Genomic DNA, 21,556 nt, shown 5'->3' on the forward strand with positions numbered 1-21,556 from the left:
TAGTATGGAAGAATGTGTTAACTAATTGGGTGTAAGAACTTGAGGATGCTGGTCTCCTTTTTAATTAGCTTTCTATCACCATAGGATGAGCCCATACATGCAAAAGAACACAGAAATCAATTAAATACAAATTAATGAAGGCAGATTTTTTTAAAGCTTATAATTGCAATTTATGTCTTATTATTGCACAAAAAAATAATAGTTCTCCAGGCCTAAAAGCAAAGGTAACAGAATGATTTATTTGTTCCTTTTTTTTTTTTTTTTTTTGGAGACAGAGTCTTGCTCTGTCACCCAGGCTGGAGTGCAGTGGTGTGATCTCAGCTCACTGCAACTTCCGCCTCCCAGGTTCAAGGAATTCTTGTGCCAGAGCCTCCCGAGTAGCTGGGATTACAGGCATGCGCCACCAAGCCCAGCTAACTTTTTGTATTTTTGGTAGAGATGGGGTTTCGCCATGTTGGCCAGGCTGGTCTCGAACTCCTGGCCTCAAGTGATCTGCCCTCCTTGGCCTCCCAACGTGCTGGGATTACAGGCGTGAGTCACCGCTCCTAGTCCAGTATGATTTATTTCTTGGCTGGACTTTCTACCTACTTATCCCATGTAGATAACTTCATTCCAACTCTTCTAAGCCTGGAGGAGTAGAAGGATCTTGAATAGTCCTTAATGTGTGTCAGAAATACACCCCTGTCACCAGCCACCATCCCTATCCAATACCTTACCAAAGTATTGATTAGGGAGCAATCCTCTCCAGATTGGCCTGAATGACTTCTTATGATCTAAGATTTGGGGGTTTAAGGGTGGGGTCTTTGTACTGCAGGGAAAATGAGTTAACTGAGAGTATATGGAATAAACAATTGTGACCTGGAAAACTGTTCATTTGCTCAACAACCACTTGTTGAAAGTTTTTTATGTGCCAGGCATGGTGGGGGCATCAGAGACACAGCAGTAAACAAAATTAAAATCTCTGTTCCAAAGAGAACATCAGCTCAGTTGGCACAATGAGTGATAAGGAGCTAGGACTATTTCCCAGTGAACAGTGTCATGGAGAAGAGAACAAAGTCCATGACACTGACTGGAAAGGTAAAGACAATATTCAATAAGGTGATCAGAAACAGTGAGCCTCCGAGGAAGTGACATTTGAGGTGAGGCCTGACCTATCAGCAATACACAACCATTTCAGATCTGGGGAAATGTTCCAGGCAAAGAGAAGAGCAAATACAGAGGCTTCCAGATGGGAACAGACTTCGAATAGGGTTTGAGTGGGATATATACATAGGAAAAATACAATCTTTTAAAAGATAGAGACTATCAAAAGAAAATGATTTTTAGCCAATAGGGATAGTATGAAAGATTCATAGCAATAAACATAGTTGACCAAAAATTTAAATATTAGAGTAGAAGGAGCCATTTAGGACATTTATCCAAAGAAAAGGAGACTAAATGAAGACATGCTGCCCCAAGTCCACAAAAGGAAAAAAATCCGAAGCTGAATATGGGGTGATCATAACCTAGACACCAAGAATGGTCCAGGAAGCATGCACAGAGGTGTGAAGGCAGAAGGCGTCCTTCAGCTAACTTGGGAATAAAACATGTTAGGAGCCAGGAGATGAGTGACTGTGGCTCCAGTCATCCATCCACAGGAGAGGGGAAGGCCCTGGAGTGGATCAAGGACAAGGATGGTGGACAAATGGGCATCCTGGGGTCTGAGGCCAAGGCATGTCACCATCACCACGTCAAAAAGTGGAGTAAGCCTTTTGACATGGGACATCCTGGTGTGTACTGGGGCTTGTTCAGCTATTTGTATATTACGTGAAACAGGAAATCCCAGACACAGCATGACAGAGCCCTCTTTCCTCTTTTCTTTACCACTATTGTGCTTTTCCCTACCGTAACCAGGAGTGATGTTAAAAGGAAGAGGAAATGCCAGTCACGCCCACTGCTTACAGGGGATTCTGTGGAGTGACTAAACCAGAGCTGTAGTTTGAGTCACACAGGACGTGTGACAAAAGGAGGGTGACTTTTTTCCCCCTTGTTTCTTTGAACTTACTTGGAAGTGTTAACAGATTCTAATGGTTAGAATGGTAAACAGAGCTTCCTACTCCTGTCGTGGTTTGACCCAGGAGTCTCACCTTCTCTCAGGCCCTTAGTTTCTTCCACTTAAACAGTGAGAGAGTTACATGATATGGTTGCAAATCCTCTCAGCGCTAATCTTGTAAGGTTAAAAATGTTTGAGTGTATTGGGCATTAAAAAGGAGACTATACACCAGGCACAGTGGCTCACGCCTGTAATCCCAGCACTTTGGGAGGCTGAGGTAGGAAGATCACTTGAGCCCAGCAGTTCAGAACCAGCCTGGGCAACATAGTGAGACACCATATCTAAAATAAAATTGTTAATTGTAAAAAAATAAAAATAAAAAAGAGATTATCAAGATAGTAAAAAGACAACCTACAGAATGGAAGAAAATATTGCAAATCATATCTCTGATAAGTGTTGTGTGTATATATATATATGACCTAATTTTTAAATGGGCAAAAGACTTGAGTAGACATTTCTTCAAAAAAGAAATACAAATGGCCAAGAAGCACATAAAAAAATGCTCAACATCCTTAGTCATTAGAGAAATGCAAATCAAACCCACAATGAGGTACCATTTCACACCTACTAGAATGGCTATTTAAACAGACAAAGAGAAAGTAGCAGTGTTAGGGAGAAGGGAAAGAAATTGGAACCCTCTTACATTGCTGGTTGGATATAAAATGGTGCAGCTACTGTGGAAAACACTTTGGTGGTTCCGCAAAAAGTTAAATATAAAATTCGCATTGACTCAGCAATTTCTCTCCTAGGTCTACACCCTAAAGAACTGGAAAAAGATATTCAAACAAAAACTGTATAGAAATGCTCGTAATAGCTTTGTTCACAATATCAAAAGTAGAAACAACCCAGATATTCATCAACTGGTAGATAGATAAATAGATAGATAGATAGATAGATAGATAGATAGATAGATAGATAGAGTGTAGTCTATCCATACAATGGGATAACATTGAGCCATAAAAAGAAACGAAGTACAGACATACTACCCCATCAATGAATCTTAAAAATTATACTATGTAAAAGAAGTCAGACACAAAAAGTCACATATATGGTTTCATTTATATGAAATATTTAGAATAGATAAATCCATAGCAACAGAAAGCAGCCTAATCCTTTCTCTAGAGGCTGGGCATTGAAGGGTTTGTTAATGGGTTCAGGGTTTCGTATTTTATGGTGATGAAAATGTTTTGGAACTAAATAGATGTAATGGTTGCACAACATTGTGAATGTACTAAATACTGCCCGATTGTACATTTTAAAGTGGTTAATTCTACATTATGTAAATTGTATCTCAATTTTTTTAAAAATTGAGGAAGGGCCAGGTGCAATGGCTCATGCCTGTAATCCCAGCACTTTGGGAGGCCAAGGCGGGCGGATCACCTGAGGTCAGGAGTTTGAGACCAGCCTGGCCAACATGGTGAAACCCTCGTCTCTACTAAAAATGCAAAGTTAGTTGCGCATGGTGGCAGGCACCTGCTACTCAGGAGGCTGAGACAGGAGAATCGCCTGAACCTGGGAGGCAGAGGTTGCAATCAGCCGAGATCATACCACTGCACTCCAGCTGGGCAGCAGAGCCAGACTGTGCCTCAAAAAAAAAAAAAATTGAGGAAGGAACCATGTGAAATTCTGTGCACCTCCTACTTGAGTTGGATACCTGGTCAGTGGTAGCAAACTAAGCAAGCTATTTCCATTGACAAATACAAATAAATCCTTCCTTCATTGTCTTCCTCAAATAAAATCCCTTGCCAATATAGGCAAGGTATTTTCATTCTCATGAAACTGTGGCTTTGAAATGTGTAAATATCTCCCTTGTTTGTAATGAAGTGGTCAGTCTCGTTCTGTTTGTGGGCAATATGATTGAAGTCTGTCTCAAAGGAGTAGTCAAACATTAACAGACCGTGATCCAAATTAAACTATGAAATGTGTTCTTGTTTATCCCATGCCAGACTCTTAAAAACGGTTGTTAGTTAAAATTGAGGTTTCAAAAAATGCAGTCTTCTGGATTATCTAGGGAGGGGGCAGAATTCTGACAATCTGTGACCCATAGTATTGTTACTATATGGTAACAATCACCTGAGATTGACAGCAGGTGCCCCCTTGAGACGCCATAGATTCTCTGTCCCTTTTCTCCCATATGTATTACCAGTCAGGTTATTCACTCTTCTTCCTGACCCCACCCCCATATCACCACAACTGAACAGAAATTCAACTTTTAGACTCTGATTCAAAGACATTGTTTGCAAAGTCTCCTATTAAAATATAAATGTGCCATCTGGAAGAAGAGGGCAGAAATCCTTAGTGCAACCATTTTTTTCCATAGTCGAACAGGAGGGTGTTGGTAAGGATCTCTTAATTTGTGGGTGGGATTGAGGCAGAGGGAAAAAGCCCAGATAAAATATCACCAGCTTGGGGTGGTCGTGGTGGCTCACACCTGTAATCCCAGCACTTCGGGAGGCCAAGGTGGGAGGACCACTTGAGCCCAGGAGTTTGAAACCAGCCTGGGCAGCATGGTGAGGCTGTGTCTTTACAAAAAATTAAAGAATTGGCCAGGTACGGTGGCTCACACCTGTAATCCCAGCACTTTGGGAGGCCAAGGTGGGAGGACCGCTTGAGCCCAGGAGTTTGAAACCAGCCTGGGCAGCATGGTGAGGCTGTGTCTTTACAAAAAATTAAAGAATTGGCCAGGTACGGTGGCTCACACCTGTAATCCCAGCATTTTGGGAGGCCAAGGCAGGCGGATCACGAGGTCAGGAGATCGAGACCATCCTGGCCAACATAGTGAAACCCCGTCTCTACTAAAAATACAAAAAAGTAGGCCGGCATGGTGGCAGGCACCTGTAGTCCCAGCTACTTGGGAGGCTGAGGCAGGAGAATGGCGTGAACCCGGGAGGTGGAGCTTGCAGTGAGTCGAGATTGTACCACTGCACTCCAGCCTGGGTGACAGAGCGAGATTCTGTCTCAAAAAAAAAAAAAAAAATTAAAGAATTAACTGGGTGTGGTGGCACACACCTGTAGTCCCAGTTATTCAGGAGCCTGAGGTGGGAGGTTCACTTGAGCCCACGAGGTTGAGGCTGCAGTGAGCCAGAGTTGTGCCACTGCACTCCAGCCTGGGCAACAGAGTAAGACCGTGTCTCAAATATATATATATATATATCCAGTCTTGTCACAATATCCCAGCCTGAAGGGAGTGGCTGGTGGCAGACTGGATGGGAGAGCACAAAACAGGCACGGGCTTCTCCTCCCCTTTGGTACTGCCACCTGCTTTTTCAATTTCACAGTCTTCCCTGAGGCAGTCCTCCCTTCTCTGCCTGGGCTTTATGGCTAGTTTTTGAATGCTTTTGCCTCCTGGAGTACCTCATCATACAAGTCCAAGTAAGGCTGAATTCCAAAAATCCCAACTCTCAGAATCCTGCCAGGTGGTCACAATAGCACCCTTGTTTTTATGTAACCTAGCACCCATGGGACCTGGCTTTTATTTTTGTTTTTACTTATTTTTCTCCCCCTAAATGCAATATGGAAAGAACCAAGGAGTTGAGGACTATTATCCCAGTTTCTGGAAGTTCAGTTTTCTCCTCTAAAATGGAAAGGGACTCTCCAAAATCAGGTAATAACTAATCGAGAGGCAGAAAGATAGTAAGAGTGGCCCAGGGTTTCTTGTGACTGTTCCTGCCCCCACACAAAATTCCTGCACCTTGTGGCCTTTCTTAGACTAGAGTGAAGTGTGTTTCCATTGTTAAAGATGGTTCCAGGTGGCAGCTAATGGCAGCTGTCCAAAGCTCTAAGGGCAACTGTGATCTTGATCTGATCCAACTTTTAATTGAGCTTGCTTTGTTCTTTTGATTTTCAGTGGGCATGTGTGGCCTCATCTCTGAGCTATTGTTTCATCAGGCATTGCAGTAAACTTTGAAGAATGCAAATTCTGAACTTCATTTGCTGTCACCTGGAAGGTGCTAGACAAATTCAATCCCCTTGAATTCTGTGACTAGAACCTATAAGAAAAAATGAATTGTCGTTTTGTAGGTTTTCATAGAGAAGTAGCAATAGGGAATGATGGGTGAATTTGGACAAGTCACTTTATCCCAAAGCGTCCATTTACTCTTCTGTGAAATACTACTTTATAGTGTTGTTTGGCCTAAATTAAACAAACCATGCAAAAAGCCCAGCCCTGTGCCTGGCATACAGTGAGTGCTCATGTGTTTGCTGCTATTATATTCTCCTAATCCAGTTTGAAAGCTGTGAGGCAGCAACTTTCCAGGAAAAGATGGCTTCAGCCAAGGGTATGTTCCTAGGACCTACCCTAAAGTTAGTCTCTCCTATTAGAGTAGTTTGAAGCTGAACTTGGCTGAAAACTATAAGAAAGGCTGGTTTAGGGGAAGCCTTTGTTACTTTTAGTTTCTTGAGATCTCTTCTTGACCTAACTCTTCAATGCTCACCACGTGTCATCCATTCTCCAGCACTGTTTCTGTGTACCTGACTGACAGTTTGCCTCACAGTAAAATGATTCCTCTGGGCTCCCTAGGTGAAAGGATGTTGGGCATAGCAAGTTGTAATGCTGTTGATCTCAGAAATCCTTCCGATGCTCCAAAAAATAAAGCAATGAGCAAGACATGTCTAGCCAGCAGGAAATATCCTTCATACAAAATGGTTAATTTCTAAAACCTGTGGCATCACCTTGACAGATCTCTTCTGTTTGGTTTATACGGGGGAATCCAACTGGAAGAGTCCTTCCTGACCCTTGGTCTGCCTGGGCAGAGGAGGTACTGTCCTCTGACCATCAGATTATGTTGGGTCTAGCAGGCTGCCTTCTTCCAGGCTTTGTGCACCAACATTAAAAAGGCAGTCATTTCTCAAAATTGTTTGGGAAATGATTAACTTGTTTCCTTTGATCCTCCCTGCTCTGTGTGAGGACAGTCAAGTAGCAGAGGTGGAGAATGTGTTCTATTATTTTCAACAGTGCTAAGTAAACACTGGGGGAAATTCTGCCACTAGAGAGGTACAACTGTGTTTGAGGGTTTGAAGGCGTGCGCGCGTGTGTGTGTGTATGTGTGTGTGTGTGTCCTTCTGAAAACATAGAGCTATTGAGTACAAAAATATGGCCATTTCCTCTAAATTTTCTTTCCCCTGTTTTTTTTTTAAGGTCTGAATTTCCTGCTGCTGTTCACAAAGATGCTTTTTATCTTTAACTTTTTGTTTTCCCCACTTCCGACCCCGGCGTTGATCTGCATCCTGACATTTGGAGCTGCCATCTTCTTGTGGCTGATCACCAGACCTCAACCCGTCTTACCTCTTCTTGACCTGAACAATCAGTCTGTGGGAATTGAGGTAATTTACCAGTCATCCTTTTAGTTTGTCAACCTTCCTCAAACTCAAACTGTAACTCCAAACCTAGGGATAGCTCATGAAGGGGATTGGGTGCAGCATGGGAAAGTAAAGCTTTCATGTTACCAATCAACAGGCAATATACAAATTTAAACTTCTATTACTGGCACATTTTCTTTTGTAATAAGGACAGTTGTATGATGTCAGTAATCTAGATTGGAGTTGGCAAACATAGCCATGAACAAAATCCATCTTTTTTTGTGCATCTGGCAAGTAAAGAATAGTTTTTACCTTTTTTAAGGGATGAGTTAAAAACAAAAATGGGAAAGATGAGGCATGTCCCACAAAGCCTAAAGTGTTTGCTGTCTAGCCCTTTGCAGAAGTAGTTTGACAACCCATGATCTAAATAATAGTGTCAGAACTTTGGGGACAGGATGACATTTTCATTGAGATACCCAGTGTCTGAGAACAATTAAGCCATTTCCTCCAGTTAAATTCTAGTTTGAGTTAAATTTATTTTTCTTAACACTATAAAAATTGAATTAGGCTCACTCCCCCGACTTTCAGCAAATTCCCCAGCTTCCTGTATCTATGAGCAAATTGAAAGTTCCAAGAATGTTCTCTTCGTTTATCCTTCCTTCTGCGCCCATGAATATCTTCATCTGTTTTCATCTTCTACCCTCTTCAGAGAAAAAAGCATTCCTGTTCCTTCACAAGGCTAATTTCTTCTGTTGTTTTTACAGTCTTCTCTTTCCAGGATAGAAGGAATCTTACTCCAAGCTACCTCTACTCTCCAGCTCCTCTCCCACCTGTGGGTACATCTGCATGTTCAATGTCTTCACTGACATCTTCCCGTCCTGCTGCATTCCACCACCACCTCTCATGCCTTTCCTTTCCCACCAGAGTTCTTTGAGAGTAGTTTGCTTATCGATTTCCTCTTCTGAACTTCAACCCACTGAGATCTGACCTTTTACCACTACCATCTCCTCCAAAGTGCTCTGAATCACTCATAACCTAACTTCTAAATTCAGTGACTTCTCTTTCAGCTTTCCTCTCAATTGACTTGAGACTTCTTTCTTGAAACTCCTCCTTTCGCCTTTTATAATATCATTCCATGAGATTTCTTCCTAATTTCAAAACAATCTTTCTTTGTTCTTTCCTCTCTTCATAATAGGGTTTTATTCTCAGCATCTCTTGATTCCTCTGCAGCAGGGGTTGGCAAACATATGCTGTAAAGGCCAGGCAGTAAATGGCATAGAATTTGCAGACCACATGGGCTCTTTTGCAACGACTCAATGCTGCTGTTGTAGAATAAGAGTACAGTACCAGACAACATGTAAACAAATGAGCATGACTGTGTTCCGATAAAAGTTTACTTACAAAGGCAGGTGGTAGGCCAGATTCAGCCTGCAGATTATAGTCTACCAAACCCTCATCTAAATTCTCACAGCTAAGAAAATACCTCCTCTTTTATGACTTGAAAATGTGCCTAAGTCTGTGACACTGAAATCTGATTTTCTATTCTGACCTCAGTGATGCTTAAGTAACTTAAGCTCTCCATGTCTTTTCATGCATGTTTTCTCCCTTCACACACACACACACACACACCCCTCCTTTCCTATTCTATTTCAGTTAAATGTATCTCTTCTTACCCAGTTGCCAAAGTTAATAGTCTGAAACATCTTGGATTCTTCCTTCTTCCTTGACTAGGCACTTAAACAGACAGCAAGACCCTGTCTTCCTTCACTAGACAAGGAACTTTATTTTTGCTATTTTCTGTCTTAACGTGATGGCCCATGTAAATTTTCCCTGATGTCCTAGACTAAGTCAGATCTCTTGTTACATCCTCGTGTGTTTTCCTGTACTTTTATAGCTCTCACTTTGGATACTAATTTACATTGTTGAATGCTTATTTAATTGTTGCCTGTTCTTCTCTACACGAAACTTCATGAGAGTTGGACCACTGGACCACACCCGCAGCACCTGTTGTAGCTCCAGGGTCCATCCCAGGGCCCTGATCCTGTAGATCCAGCTGACATTTCAGATAGATTCCTAGCTACTCCCTTTTTCTTTTTTTTTTTTTTTTTAGAGGAAGTCTCGCTCTTGTCCCCCAGGTTGGAGTGCAAATGGTGTGATCTTGGCTCACTGCAACCTCCGCTTCCCAGGTTCAAGCGATTCTCCTGCCTCAGCCTCTCGAGTAGCTGGGATTACAGGTGCCTGCCACCACACCCAGCTAATTTTTGTATTTTTAATAGAGAGAGGGTTTCACCATGTTGGCCAGGTTGGTCTCGAACTCCTGACCTCAGATGATCCACCTGCCTTGGCCTCTCAAAGTGCTGAAATTACAGGCGTGAGCCACAGCGCCCAGCCAGCTAACCCCCTTTTTCTTGAATACGCCGTCCTCTAGCTGCCCACCCAACTCTGCGCTGCGTTTTCTTACCTCCATGCCTTTGCTCAGGCTGTTCCTCCACTCTGGAATTTTCTTTTTTCTCCTTTACCCTACCCAAATCATATCTTTTGCCAAATGCCTACTTGTCTTCAAAGTCTGTATTGAAATACCATTTCTTCTCTGTAATCTTTCTGCTTAATACAGAACTGGTTGCTTCATCCCCACCACTAATCCATTTCCTCCAAATTCATTATAGCATGTACATCATAGTATTATATTTGCATTTTTTCCTTATGACCTACCCATACTCCAACAACCGTAGTGTGTGAGGTGCTTAAGGGCAGCTATTTTGTCTTAACTCACATCTACAGTATGTACAGAGTACCTAGAACACATAGTATGCATTCAGTAGAAGTTTAAACTCGATAAGATAAAAAAGATATAAAACTATACATATCATCTCTCCTCCATATATATACACACATGGATGCCAGGAGGGTTACCAAAAACATAACAGTGGCAATCTCTGGGTGGGATTACAGATCCACTTTTCTTTTTTTTTTTTTTTTTTTTTTTTTTTTTTTTTTTTTTTTTTGAGACGGAGTCTCGCTCTGTCGCCCAGGCTGGAGTGCAGTGGCGCAATCTCGGCTCACTGCAAGCTCCGCCTCCCGGGTTCACGCCATTCTCCTGCCTCAGCCTCCCAAGTAGCTGGGACTACAGGCGCCCGCCACTACGCCCGGCTAATTTTTTGTATTTTTAGTAGAGACGGGGTTTCACCGTTTTAGCCGGGATGGTCTCGATCTCCTGACCTCGTGATCCGCCCGCCTCGGCCTCCCAAAGTGCTGGGATTACAGGCGTGAGCCACCGCGCCCGGCCACAGATCCACTTTTCTTAAGCCTTTATTACACTTTTGTATTTTCTTTTTTTTTTTTCTGAGACGGAGTCTCACTCCGTTGCCCAGGCTGGAGTGCAGTGGCGCGATCTTGCCTCACTGCAACCTCTGCCTCCCCGGTTCAAGCCATTCTCCTGTCTCAACCTCCCAAGTAGCTGGGACTACAGGCATCTGCCGCCATGCCTGGCTAATTTTTGTATTTTTAGTAGAGACGGGGTTTCATCCTGTTGGTCAGGCTGGTCTCGAACTCCTGACCTCAGGTGATCCACCCGCCTCAGCCTCCCAAAGTGCTGGGATTACAGGCGTGAGCCACCGAGCCCAGCCACTTTCCTATTTTCTAAAATGTCTACGATGTAAACATACTATGATTTGGGGATTTTTAAAAATCAATTGACTAGCGAAGAGAACATTCCCGTGACCTCAAAATCGGCATTTATGGTCTCTTTAATTCAATTCATAAAGGTTTTGGAAAGAGTGAGGGGAGACTTGAACTTGGCCTAAACTTGGTCTTGTGTCTTAGGGAGGAGCACGGAAGGGGGTTTCCCAGAAGAACAATGACCTAACAAGTTGCTGCTTCTCAGATGCCAAGACTATGTATGAGGTTTTCCAAAGAGGACTCGCTGTGTCTGGTAAGCCTGGTGGTCTGTCCTTGCCTGAAGAAGACAAGGTGAGGTCTGTGGCCCATCTCTCTTTCTCTGTCTCACTTCTAAAACCCCAGCTATTTAGATGCAGTGATCCAAGTAGAATCGCAACATGCAAAATAGAGGCAACATTAGAACATAGTATTAGGATGGGCGTTGGAACCAGTGTCAGACGGACTTAGGTTTGAAACCTGGTTCTTCCATTTCCAGCTTCATAACCTTGTGCAGACCACTTTGCTTCTCTGAATCTGTTTCTCAACACAAGAAGAACGTCCCTGCCAAAACTGTTGTTAAAGGGTCAAGGAGATAATAATATAGGACAGTATCTTTAACTCACTAGTACCTCATATTTGTTTAGAAACATGCCTTTCATTAATGTAATTCCCTGCATTTACAGATAGACAATCTGAGCCAGGACTAGCAGTCCAGGATTCCTGATGTCTTACCTTGTCCTTAACTCTGATACCATCCTACTGACCAAAGTTAGCACTTCTTTGGACTTTTTTAGAGACTACCAAATGGGCTTTGACACGTTCATTTGGAATACATCAAGCCTTAATATTTATATCTTATATCATTGAACATAATGCCTGGCACACACACGTTTACTTTTAAAAGCTGCTGGCTTATAGCTCTTTCTGTGCCTTTGGTCTTTTGGGTGACATTCTGGCCGTGTAACTTTTATCCGTCCCTTGACTTCTGCATGTTAACTAAGACTAAGAGCATATTCATAGCCAACTCCTGTCAAGTGTTAACTATACAATAGCTACTGCACATATATTACTTCATCTTCCCTAAACCATAGAGAGTGGTTACTATCACTGCCATTTTTAAAGATGAGGACCCAGACTCACAGCTTCAAGACCATTACCAAGGTCATAGAACTAGAAAATGTCAGAGCTGATAGGAAAATCTAAGTGTGTCTGTTTGACTTGGTTGTTCTATTTTAGGTTAGCTCGTAAGTGTTTTATAAAAGTAGTCACTCCTCCAGACAATGAAAGATTTATTGTCAAGAAAACATCTATCTGAAGAGTCCGATGGGGCCTGTACTTAGTATATCTGGCTCCAAATCAGCATTTACTTATAGACTTCATGCAAATAACAAATAAAAACAAACCAAACATCAGTTTCTTTACTTCTCTGGCAATTTAAGATAGTATATGTCTAATACAGTATAATTTCCTTTGGGGTTTTTTCCTTTTTTTTCAGAGACGGGATCTTGCTCTGTCACCCAGGCTAGAGTGCAGTGGTGTGATAGAATATAGCTCACTACAACTTTAAATTCTTGGACTCAAGCAATCCTCTCACCTCAGCTTCCCAAGTAGCTAGGACTACAGGCATGTGCTGCCACACCTGGCTAATTTTTTTTTCCTTTTTTTCTTTTCTTTTTTTTTTTTTTTTTTTTTGAGATGGAGTCTCGCTCTGTTGCCCAGGCTGGAGTGCAGTGGTGCAATCTTGGCTCACGGCAACCTCTGCCTCCCAGGTTCAAGCAATTCTCTGCCTCAGCCTCCCGAGTAGCTGGGATTACAGGCACCTGCCACCATGCTTGGCTGATTTTTGTATTTTTAGTAGAGATGGGGTTTCACCATCTTGGCCAGGCTGGTCCTAAACTCCTGACCTGGTGATCCACCCACCTTGACCTCCCAAAGTGCTGGGATTACAGGTGTGAGCCACCATGCCCGGCCTACACCTGGTTAATTTTTTTAATTTTTTGTAGAGACAAGGTCTCACTATGTTGTCCAAGCTAGTCTCAAACTGACTTCAAGAGATAACCCCCTCCCCGACTCCAGCCTCCCAAAGTACTGGGATTACAGGAGTGGGCCACTATGCTCAGCTCTAGTGATTTTCTGTTTTTAGAAGTTTTCTTTATTGAGGATGTGTTGTTATTGTGACTAAAACAAGCCATTTAGCAAGTGATATGTGGCACATGAGAGATATAATTTAGGATTTTTTTTTAAATACTAAATCCTAAACCAATACCGTTGAAATAGCTTCTCATGGAAGCAGGCGTGAGAAATCTGGTGTGGCTACTTACATAGAAAAATGATAGCCAGGCATGGTGGTGGTGCCTGTAATCCCAGCCACTTGGGAGGCTGAGGCAGGAGAATCGCTTGAACCTGGGAAGTGGAGGTTGCAGTGAGCCGAGATCGCGCCACTGCACTTCAGCCTGGGTAACAGAGGGACACTCCATCTCAAAAAAATAAAAAAAGAAAAATGACACTTCTGGTCCTATCTGGGGTTGCATACATTAGCCTTAGCTAGTAGTTTGTTTATCTTGAGACTCACTTGGGGCTACTGTTTAAAATATATATCTTCTGGTTACACCTTAGGTTCACTGAATTAAATTTCCAGATAATGAAACCTAAAAATCCTCAGGAAGCTTTGTATTTTTAGCAACACTTCCAGGGGATTCTGTATACCAGAGTTGGAATTCTACTTAGTTTAGAGGGACAACTTTGCCAAGAATTTGTTAATGGATGGGCTCTTTGTAGATGGCCACAGCTTAGAACAGAACAGGTCTGAGTTGACTAAGTTAATGAAAGGCTAGGCTGTTGCCTGGTCAGGCATTTGGCTAGTAGGCTGAAGCTGATCAAGTCACAGAGTTTAATGAGACCTGAGTTGTTGCCCCTTTGGGCTAATTATTTGACTTATTCCTTAGACACCAGCCTCTGCTAGCATTTTTATCAATCAAGAGGTGATAAGATGCAGTATAATTCCTTCCTGGAACTCTCTCTCTCCTTTCTTTCTTTCTTTTTCTTTCTTTCTCTTTCTTTCTTTCTTTCTTTCTTTCTTTCTTTCTTTCTTTCTTTCTTTCTTTCTTCCTTCCTTCCTTCCTTTCTTTCTTTCTTTTTCTTTCTTTCCTTCTTTCTTTCTTTCCTTTTCTTTCTTTCTTTCCTTCTTTCCTTCCTCCCACCTTCTCTTTCTTTCTCTCTCTCTCTCTCTCTCTCCTTCTGTCTTTCTTTCTTCAGGGTCTGGCTCTGTTGCCCAGGCTGGAGTGCAGTGGCACGATCTAAGCTCACTGCAACCTCCACCTCCTGGGCTCAAGCCATTCTTCCACCTCAGTCTCCCAAATAGCTGGGACTACAGGCTCATGCCACCACCCATAGCTAATTTTTTTATATTTTTTATAGAGATGGAGTTTTGCCATGTTGCCCAGGCTGGTCTTGAACTCTTGAGCTCAAGTGATCTGCCAACCTCTGCCTCCCAAACTGCTGGGATTACAGGCATGAGCCACTGTGCCCAGCCCCCAGTATACTTTCTTAGACATTCATCAGCTCTACCACTTGCTGAGTGAGCTTAACCAAGCTGTCTCAGTCCTTCATAATTCTTAGTACAATACAAATGATAATAGCTGGGAAGATGAGTTAATGTGCCTGGCATGGAGTAAGCATTTAATAAATGGTAGCTATCATTAGTGATTAATGTTAGTACAAATGATCTCAATGTTAGACCACCCAAGACACACACCCTGGGGGAGCAAGTGGCTTCCACTCTGACAAAGCCATGCTTCAGGGAAAGTTAGTCTGAGACGTTACTTCTAAGGCTTTCATGCAGCTGTTTCAATTGGAAGCAAAAGTACTAATGTTTTCTGTACACAGCCTCCTCATTCATTTTTATATCTCTTTAATCAGAGTGGGTATCTCTTCCCTGCTTTCCTTCCTTTTTTTCCCATCTCTTAGTCTAGAAGTCCACTTACTTGCCTCCGAATTCCTAGTAACTCTCTTTCTGAATAATTCCTTTTGGCAAGACCTGAATTCCTCTTAGCAGTTTGACTAGATCCTCTCTATACATTTTCCTGCCCTTCTACTTGTCTACTTATAACAACCTCCTTCTGGCTTAGACGTGAGGGCTTCTAAGCCACTTAGTGTGTTCTTCAGCCTAATACCACTACTTCCTTGACTTAGCTTTAAAAGCTGAGATGCCATTTATTCTTGTAAATGGATGTTCCCAAACTTATTTTAAGTAAGGCTGAGTAGTTTAGATATTCAGAAGTTTAATTCTTTTATTGTCAAATGCAAGATGTAAATTGGAAAAATACTGAAGACAAATGCATGAGTGTGTGCACACCTCTGTGTGTGTTTCCGTGTTTTTTTACAAGCCTTGATATCTTAGAAGATACTCTCATACAAATGGGCAAAGTACATGAACAAACAAGTCATGAAAGTAAATAAAACCTAACAAGGAAAAAGGTCCCACTTTACTAGCTGTTAAAGAAACTTAGACTATAGTAATAACTTTTCAAACCTATCAAACCTGAAAATATTTTCGTTTTGTTTTGTTTTGAGACTGAGTTTTGCTCTTGTTGCCCAGGCTGGAGTGCAATGGCACGATCTCAACTCATCGCAACTTCCACCTCCCGGGTGAAGCAATTCTCCTGCCTCAGCCTCCCCAGTAGCTGGAATTACAGGCATGTGCTGCTGCACCCAGCTAATTTTGTATTTTTAGTAGAGACGGGGTTTCTCCATGTTGGGCAGGCTGGTCTTGAACTCCCAACCTCAGGTGATCTGCCCGCCTTGGCCTCCCAAAGTGCTGGGATTACAGGCATGAGCCACTGCGCCCAGCCTTGAAGAAAGTTTTTAAAGACACTATTTAGCAGTCTAGGAGAGTGTGTTAAAACTTGATATGATAGGAGAAAAGTGAATTGTCACATCTGCTCCAGTAAGCAGTGTGGTCTAGGTATCAAAAGCCTGACTGTTCTGAGCCCCTATTCCCTTCCCTTATTATATTTTAGGGGCTCTATTCTAAGGAAATGGTCTAAATTTAAAAGGATCAATTTGAAAATATTTAGCGTAATTTAAAGTGTCAAGCTTGAAAACAATCTAAATACCCACGATGAAATAAAGTCAACTATAATAGAACCCTTCATCGACTGGCCATTGAAACCACTACAGAGAAGAGATAATGACATGAAAATACTTAGGTCAGATTGGGAGAGGAAGCAAGGTATCAAAGTATTATATTCATTCTATACATGGGGAATGAACATAACTGTCAAACTATGCAAAAGGGCCATGGGATAATATATCAGTGTTAATAATGGTATTTGGGTGATGAGATTGATGATTCATATTTTAACTTTTTTATATCTTTATGAGCATAGTTTTTATTGTAGGGAAGTTCAATCCAAGATTGTTCAATACAGGCTGTTTGTGTTTACTTGTAGGCTTTCACTTGGTCATGTTTTGTGGGCTAACCCCATATGGATGGCTTTCTCTGAATGTCTACATTATCATGGAGGTTACATATTCAACACTGAACCACTCCTGTTTTGTGTAGCATTTCCTAAATGTTTCAACTATAGTTTATAGGACTCTTCATTTTTGAGGACTCAGTGCTTTCTGACTTTGAATTTCCTGGACATATAATAGAAGCTCAAATCCTTGTTGGACTTACCCTTTGTGTCTTGCCCCTTCTTAATCTCCTTTTAGCTTCCTTGGTCCAGAGAATTTGCAACTGGAGTTGATTTTCTTTTAATATTATGTTTTTAGACAATGGGCCCTGCTTGGGATATAGAAAACCAAACCAGCCCTACAGATGGCTATCTTACAAACAGGTAAGTTGAGTCCATGTTTTTAGACAGATTCTTTCTAACATAGTATTCTGAACTACAGGATACGATATTGGTCAGTTTTTGGTCTTGACCTCTTCTCTCTCTCTCTCACCCCATCTCTCTTTTTTGTAGGTGTCTGATAGAGCAGAGTACCTGGGTTCCTGTCTCTTGCATAAAGGTTATAAATCATCACCAGACCAGTTTGTCGGCATCTTTGCTCAGAATAGGCCAGAGGTAACTATGTTGAAGTTAACTAAAGGAAATGAGTCAGGGTTAAGTTTAAAAACTTCAAATGCTATTCCCCGTCCAGCATTCCAACACTTGTTAATGCCTTACCAAAGCTATTGTTAAAATTTTCTAATGCTTATTCTACTTGAAAGAGTTACCACTCAGAACCTATTTAATTTCTGGTTAAGTGTCTGGCACTCTCACCTAGGTGTTTGGACTTCTCTTTTTTCTCAGCCTATCATGTGTTTTTTGAAGTCAGTCTGATTGTTACATGAGGAAAATAAGGAAGCTAGGAGGGACCGCCAAATAAGATCTTGAAGATATTGTGGAAAGTATGTATTAGTATTAGAACTGAAACTTGCAATTTGTAATTGAACTAGTAAATTCAGCCATTCATTGCTACTGAGTCTGGCCATAGCTATCTTTCCACAGTGAGTTGGAAGCAGATTTTAGACAGTAAGATGACAGAATCAAGCTTATCTCCAAGTTTTGGTTAAGTCATTAGGCACATTATCCCCAGAGGAAGTCTTTTTATGCTTCAAACGCTCCCTAGAAATGCAGCATATGATACATATAACATACAAAATCTGTGTTAACTGTCTGTGTTATCAGCAAGGCTTCCAGTCGACAGAAGCCATTAGTAGTTAAGTTTTGGGGGAGTTAAGTTCTATGTGGATCTTGTTGAAAGTTCACAAACTGTAAGTCCCATTTCTAATGCTAATACAAATATAAAAATATTCACCAACATTTTTAGGTGAATCTGCATACTCCATTCTTGTCACAGTCAGCCTCAATAGAAAAAGGTTCCCTTGACTCTAGTTTAGGAACTTAACACCTAATCTGATACAGTTAATCCTTGAACAACATGGGGGTTAGGACCACTGCCTATTCAGTAAAAAAATCCACAGATAACCCCCCCAAAACTTAACTACTAATAGCCTTCCTTTATGATAATATAGGTAGTTGATTAACACATATTTTGTATGTTATATGTATTGTATACTGCTTTCTTACAATATAGTAAGCTAGAGAAACAAAAATGTCATTAAGAAAATGATAAGGAAGAGAAAATGTATATACTATTCATTAGGTGGAAGTGGATCATTATAAAGGTCTTCATCTGAGTCATCTTTACCTTGAGTGGGTTGAGGAGGAGGGAGAAGAGAGGTTGGTCTTGCTGTCTCAGACCTGGCAGAGGTGGAAGAGGTAGAGGAGATGGAAAGAGAGGCAGGAAATATAGGCACCCTCAATGTAACTTTTATTGAAAAAAAAAATCCACAAGCAGACCCTTACAGTTCAAACCCATGTGTTCAAGGAGCAACTGTATATTAGTCTGCTAGAACTGCCATAATCTAATACACAGACCATGTGGCTTAAACAACAGAAATTTATTTTCTCACAGTTCTGGAGTCTAGGAATCCAAGGTCAGAGTGTCAGCAGGTTTAGCTTCTCCCGAGGCCTCTCTCCTTGACTTGTAGACAGCCACTTTTTCATTTTGTCTTCACACGGCCTTTTCTCTGTGCACATGTATCCCTCATGACCGTTCTTCTTCATAGAAGGAAGGGATTAGGACCCCACACTTAAAACTTCATTTAACCTTAATTACTTATTTAAAAGCCCTATCTCATATACTGTCACATTGGGGATTAGGGTTTCAACATGAATTTGGGTTGGGCCGGAGGAGGGGTGACAGGGAGACAGGATTCAGTCCATAACATCTACATTGATATTTAAGGCCCATCACTAGCAGATTCCTACCTACCTTTCCAGTTTTATTTCCTGTAGTCTTCAAGCTTGCTAATGTGTATCCACACAATGATGTTATGCTGTCTGTATTAGTTCGTTATCACACTGTTACGAAGAAATACCTGAGACTGGGTAATTTATAAAGGAAAGAGGTTTAATTGACTCACAGTTCTGCAGTGCTGGGGAGGCCTCAAGAAACTTACAATCATGGCGGAAGGGAAAGCAAACATGTCCTTCTTCACATGGTGGCAGGAAAGAAAAGAATGAGAGCAAAGGGGGTGGAAAGCCCCTTATGAAATCAGATCACATGAGAACTCACTCACTGTCACGAGAACAATGTATTAGTCTGTTTTTATGCTGCTGATAAAGACATACCTAAGACCTGGAAGAAGAGGAGGTTTAATTGGACTTACAGTTCCACATGGCTGGTGAGGCCTCAGAATCATGGTAGGAGGCAAAAGGCACTTCTTACATCGTGGCAGCAAGAGAAAATGAGGAAGAAGCAAAAAGTGGAAACCCCTGGTAAACCCATCAGATCTCATGGGACTTATTTACTATCATGAGAATAGCACAGGAAAGACCAGCACCCATGATTGAATTACCTCCCCCTGGGTCCCTCCCACAACACATGGGAATTCTGGGAGATACAATTCAAGTTGAGATTTTATTTTATTTATTTATTTATTTATTTTTTGTGAGACGGAGTTTCACTCTGTTGCCAGGCTGGAGTACAGTGGTGCCATCTCAGCTCACTGCAACCTCCACCTCCCGGGTTCAAGCAATTCTTCTGCCTCAGCCTCCCGAGTAGCTGGGATTACAGGCACATGCCACCACGCCCAGCTAATTTTTGTATTTTTAGTAGAGACAGGATTTCACCATGTTGGCCAGGATGGTCTCAATCTCTTGACCTCGTGATCTTCCCATCTCAGCCTCCCAAAGTGCTGGGATTACAGGCATGAACCACTGCACCCGGCCTCAAGTTGAGATTTGAATGGGTACGCAGCTAAACCACGTCAAACAGTATGAGGGTAACCACCCCCATGATTCAATTACCTCCCACTGGGTTCCTCCCACGACACATGGGGATTATGGGAACTACAATTCAAGATGAGATCTGGATGGGGACACAGCCAAACCATATCACTATTCTTTGTTCATTCACTTCCTTCTTTTAATCTACCTCTACCTCCATAACCAAATCCTACTAGTCCTCTAAAGCCCTGCCCAGTTTTCATCAGTTTCCCACAAGCAGTCCCAAATAGCTTTCCTCACCCTTGAAAGTGATCTCTGACACCCTAAGGCTCCTAATGCCTTCCATACCTCTTACGGATGGAACTTATCACACTCTGCCTTTGTATTCTGGTCTACCTTTGTATTGCAGTTGTCCCTGTGCCTTTCTTATCTCCCTTATTTAATTGTACTTTATAGCAGTATTTACAACTGTCCCTATGGCCCCACAGTGATTTTTTTTTTTACATAAAAGTCAACAAATAAGTAATCCCAGCACTTTGGGAGGCCCAGGTAGGCAGATAGGTTGAGCCTAGGAGTTTTATGCCAGAATGGGAAACATGGTGAAATCCCGTCTCTACAAAAAATACAAAAATTAGCTTGACATAGTGATGTGTGCCTGTAGTTCCAGCTACTCAGGAGGCTGAGGTGGGAGGATTGCTTGATCCTGGAAGGTTGAGGCTGCAGTGAGCTATGATCACACCACTGCACTCCAGCCTGGGCAGCAGAGTGAGGCACTGTCTCAAAAAAAAAAAAAAAAGCAAAACAAAACAAGACAAAAAACCAGACAGCATTTGTTGGCTGAATGACTGAACTGGTACTCTTCAGTGTGCCCTCCAGTCCTTACTTGAACTTCTCTCTGTACAGTGGATCATCTCCGAATTGGCTTGTTACACGTACTCTATGGTAGCTGTACCTCTGTATGACACCTTGGGACCAGAAGCCATCGTACATATTGTCAACAAGGGTAAAATTTTGCTGTTACATTACAACTTGATTCTTTCTCAATGCTGAGTATTTCTTCAATTTCTGCTTTTTTGTTTATTTGTTTGTTTGTTTAAGCAAACTTGAAATGCTGTGGTCGGAAAATGTTCAAGTCTTTCTAGTTTTGTAGTACTTAGGATATAATTTTCAGGAAAGCTACAAAAAGCCCATGAAGCAGAGATACACACAGAAAGAAGTTTCAATGACATGCGTCAGGGTGACATGGTATGATGATATAGAGACAAGACTACTCACTCTGAACACACTAGATAAAAGCCCAGAGAGTGAGCTTAATTGACTTAATCACAGTAAAGCTACAGATTTAATTTCCTACCTTTGTAAATCCAAGTCAATACAGTTAACCAGCATGTACCAATGTCCATGGTGAGTCTGCAGAAAATAATTGTCGTTGTTAGAGAAACAAGTCCAAATTTGATGGGCAAGTAACAGCCCTTTCACATATCCAACATGTTACCTTCTGTCATGGGACTAGTAGATTAAGTGAGTAAGTCCATTTGCACAGTAAACATCATTTGAAACTTTAAACATGCATCAAAGCAAATGCTAAAATTTAGAATTGTAAAATACTTGTCAGCTAAAAATCCTATTTGCCCCCTTCTTTTTCTTCTATTCCCTACTATCCTCCTCAAATAAAACAGTGATAGAACCACACCTCAGTAACCTGTTTAGGTTATCTGAATGACTT

General features: G+C 41.7%; 1 protein-coding gene across 4 annotated transcripts in view, besides 2 other annotated features; it reads left to right on the forward strand.

Moving 5' to 3' along the window:
• Positions 1–21,556, forward strand: part of ACSL5 (acyl-CoA synthetase long chain family member 5) — a 54,261-nt gene that overhangs the window by 13,573 nt on the left and 19,132 nt on the right. For all 4 annotated transcript variants that reach the window (NM_203379.2, NM_203380.2, NM_016234.4 and 1 more), the window contains exons 2-6: positions 7,230–7,414; positions 11,213–11,321; positions 16,823–16,887; positions 17,017–17,118; positions 20,734–20,833. In NM_203379.2, the coding sequence (NP_976313.1) occupies positions 7,259–7,414; positions 11,213–11,321; positions 16,823–16,887; positions 17,017–17,118; positions 20,734–20,833 (532 nt within the window). In that variant the 5' untranslated portion in view covers positions 7,230–7,258. The remainder of the gene's footprint in view (positions 1–7,229; positions 7,415–11,212; positions 11,322–16,822; positions 16,888–17,016; positions 17,119–20,733; positions 20,834–21,556) is intronic.
• Positions 1,791–1,920: a silencer, noted in NCBI's record as "silent region_2833". NCBI's record gives its function as "represses an Ori minimal core promoter by ATAC-STARR-seq in GM12878 lymphoblastoid cells {active_cell/tissue: GM12878}" and the evidence as "EXISTENCE:reporter gene assay evidence [ECO:0000049][PMID:35858748]".
• Positions 1,941–1,990: a silencer, noted in NCBI's record as "silent region_2834". NCBI's record gives its function as "represses an Ori minimal core promoter by ATAC-STARR-seq in GM12878 lymphoblastoid cells {active_cell/tissue: GM12878}" and the evidence as "EXISTENCE:reporter gene assay evidence [ECO:0000049][PMID:35858748]".

The sequence above is a fragment of the Homo sapiens genome, chromosome 10 (genome assembly GCF_000001405.40).
Source record: "Homo sapiens chromosome 10, GRCh38.p14 Primary Assembly".
NCBI lineage: Eukaryota > Metazoa > Chordata > Mammalia > Primates > Hominidae > Homo > Homo sapiens.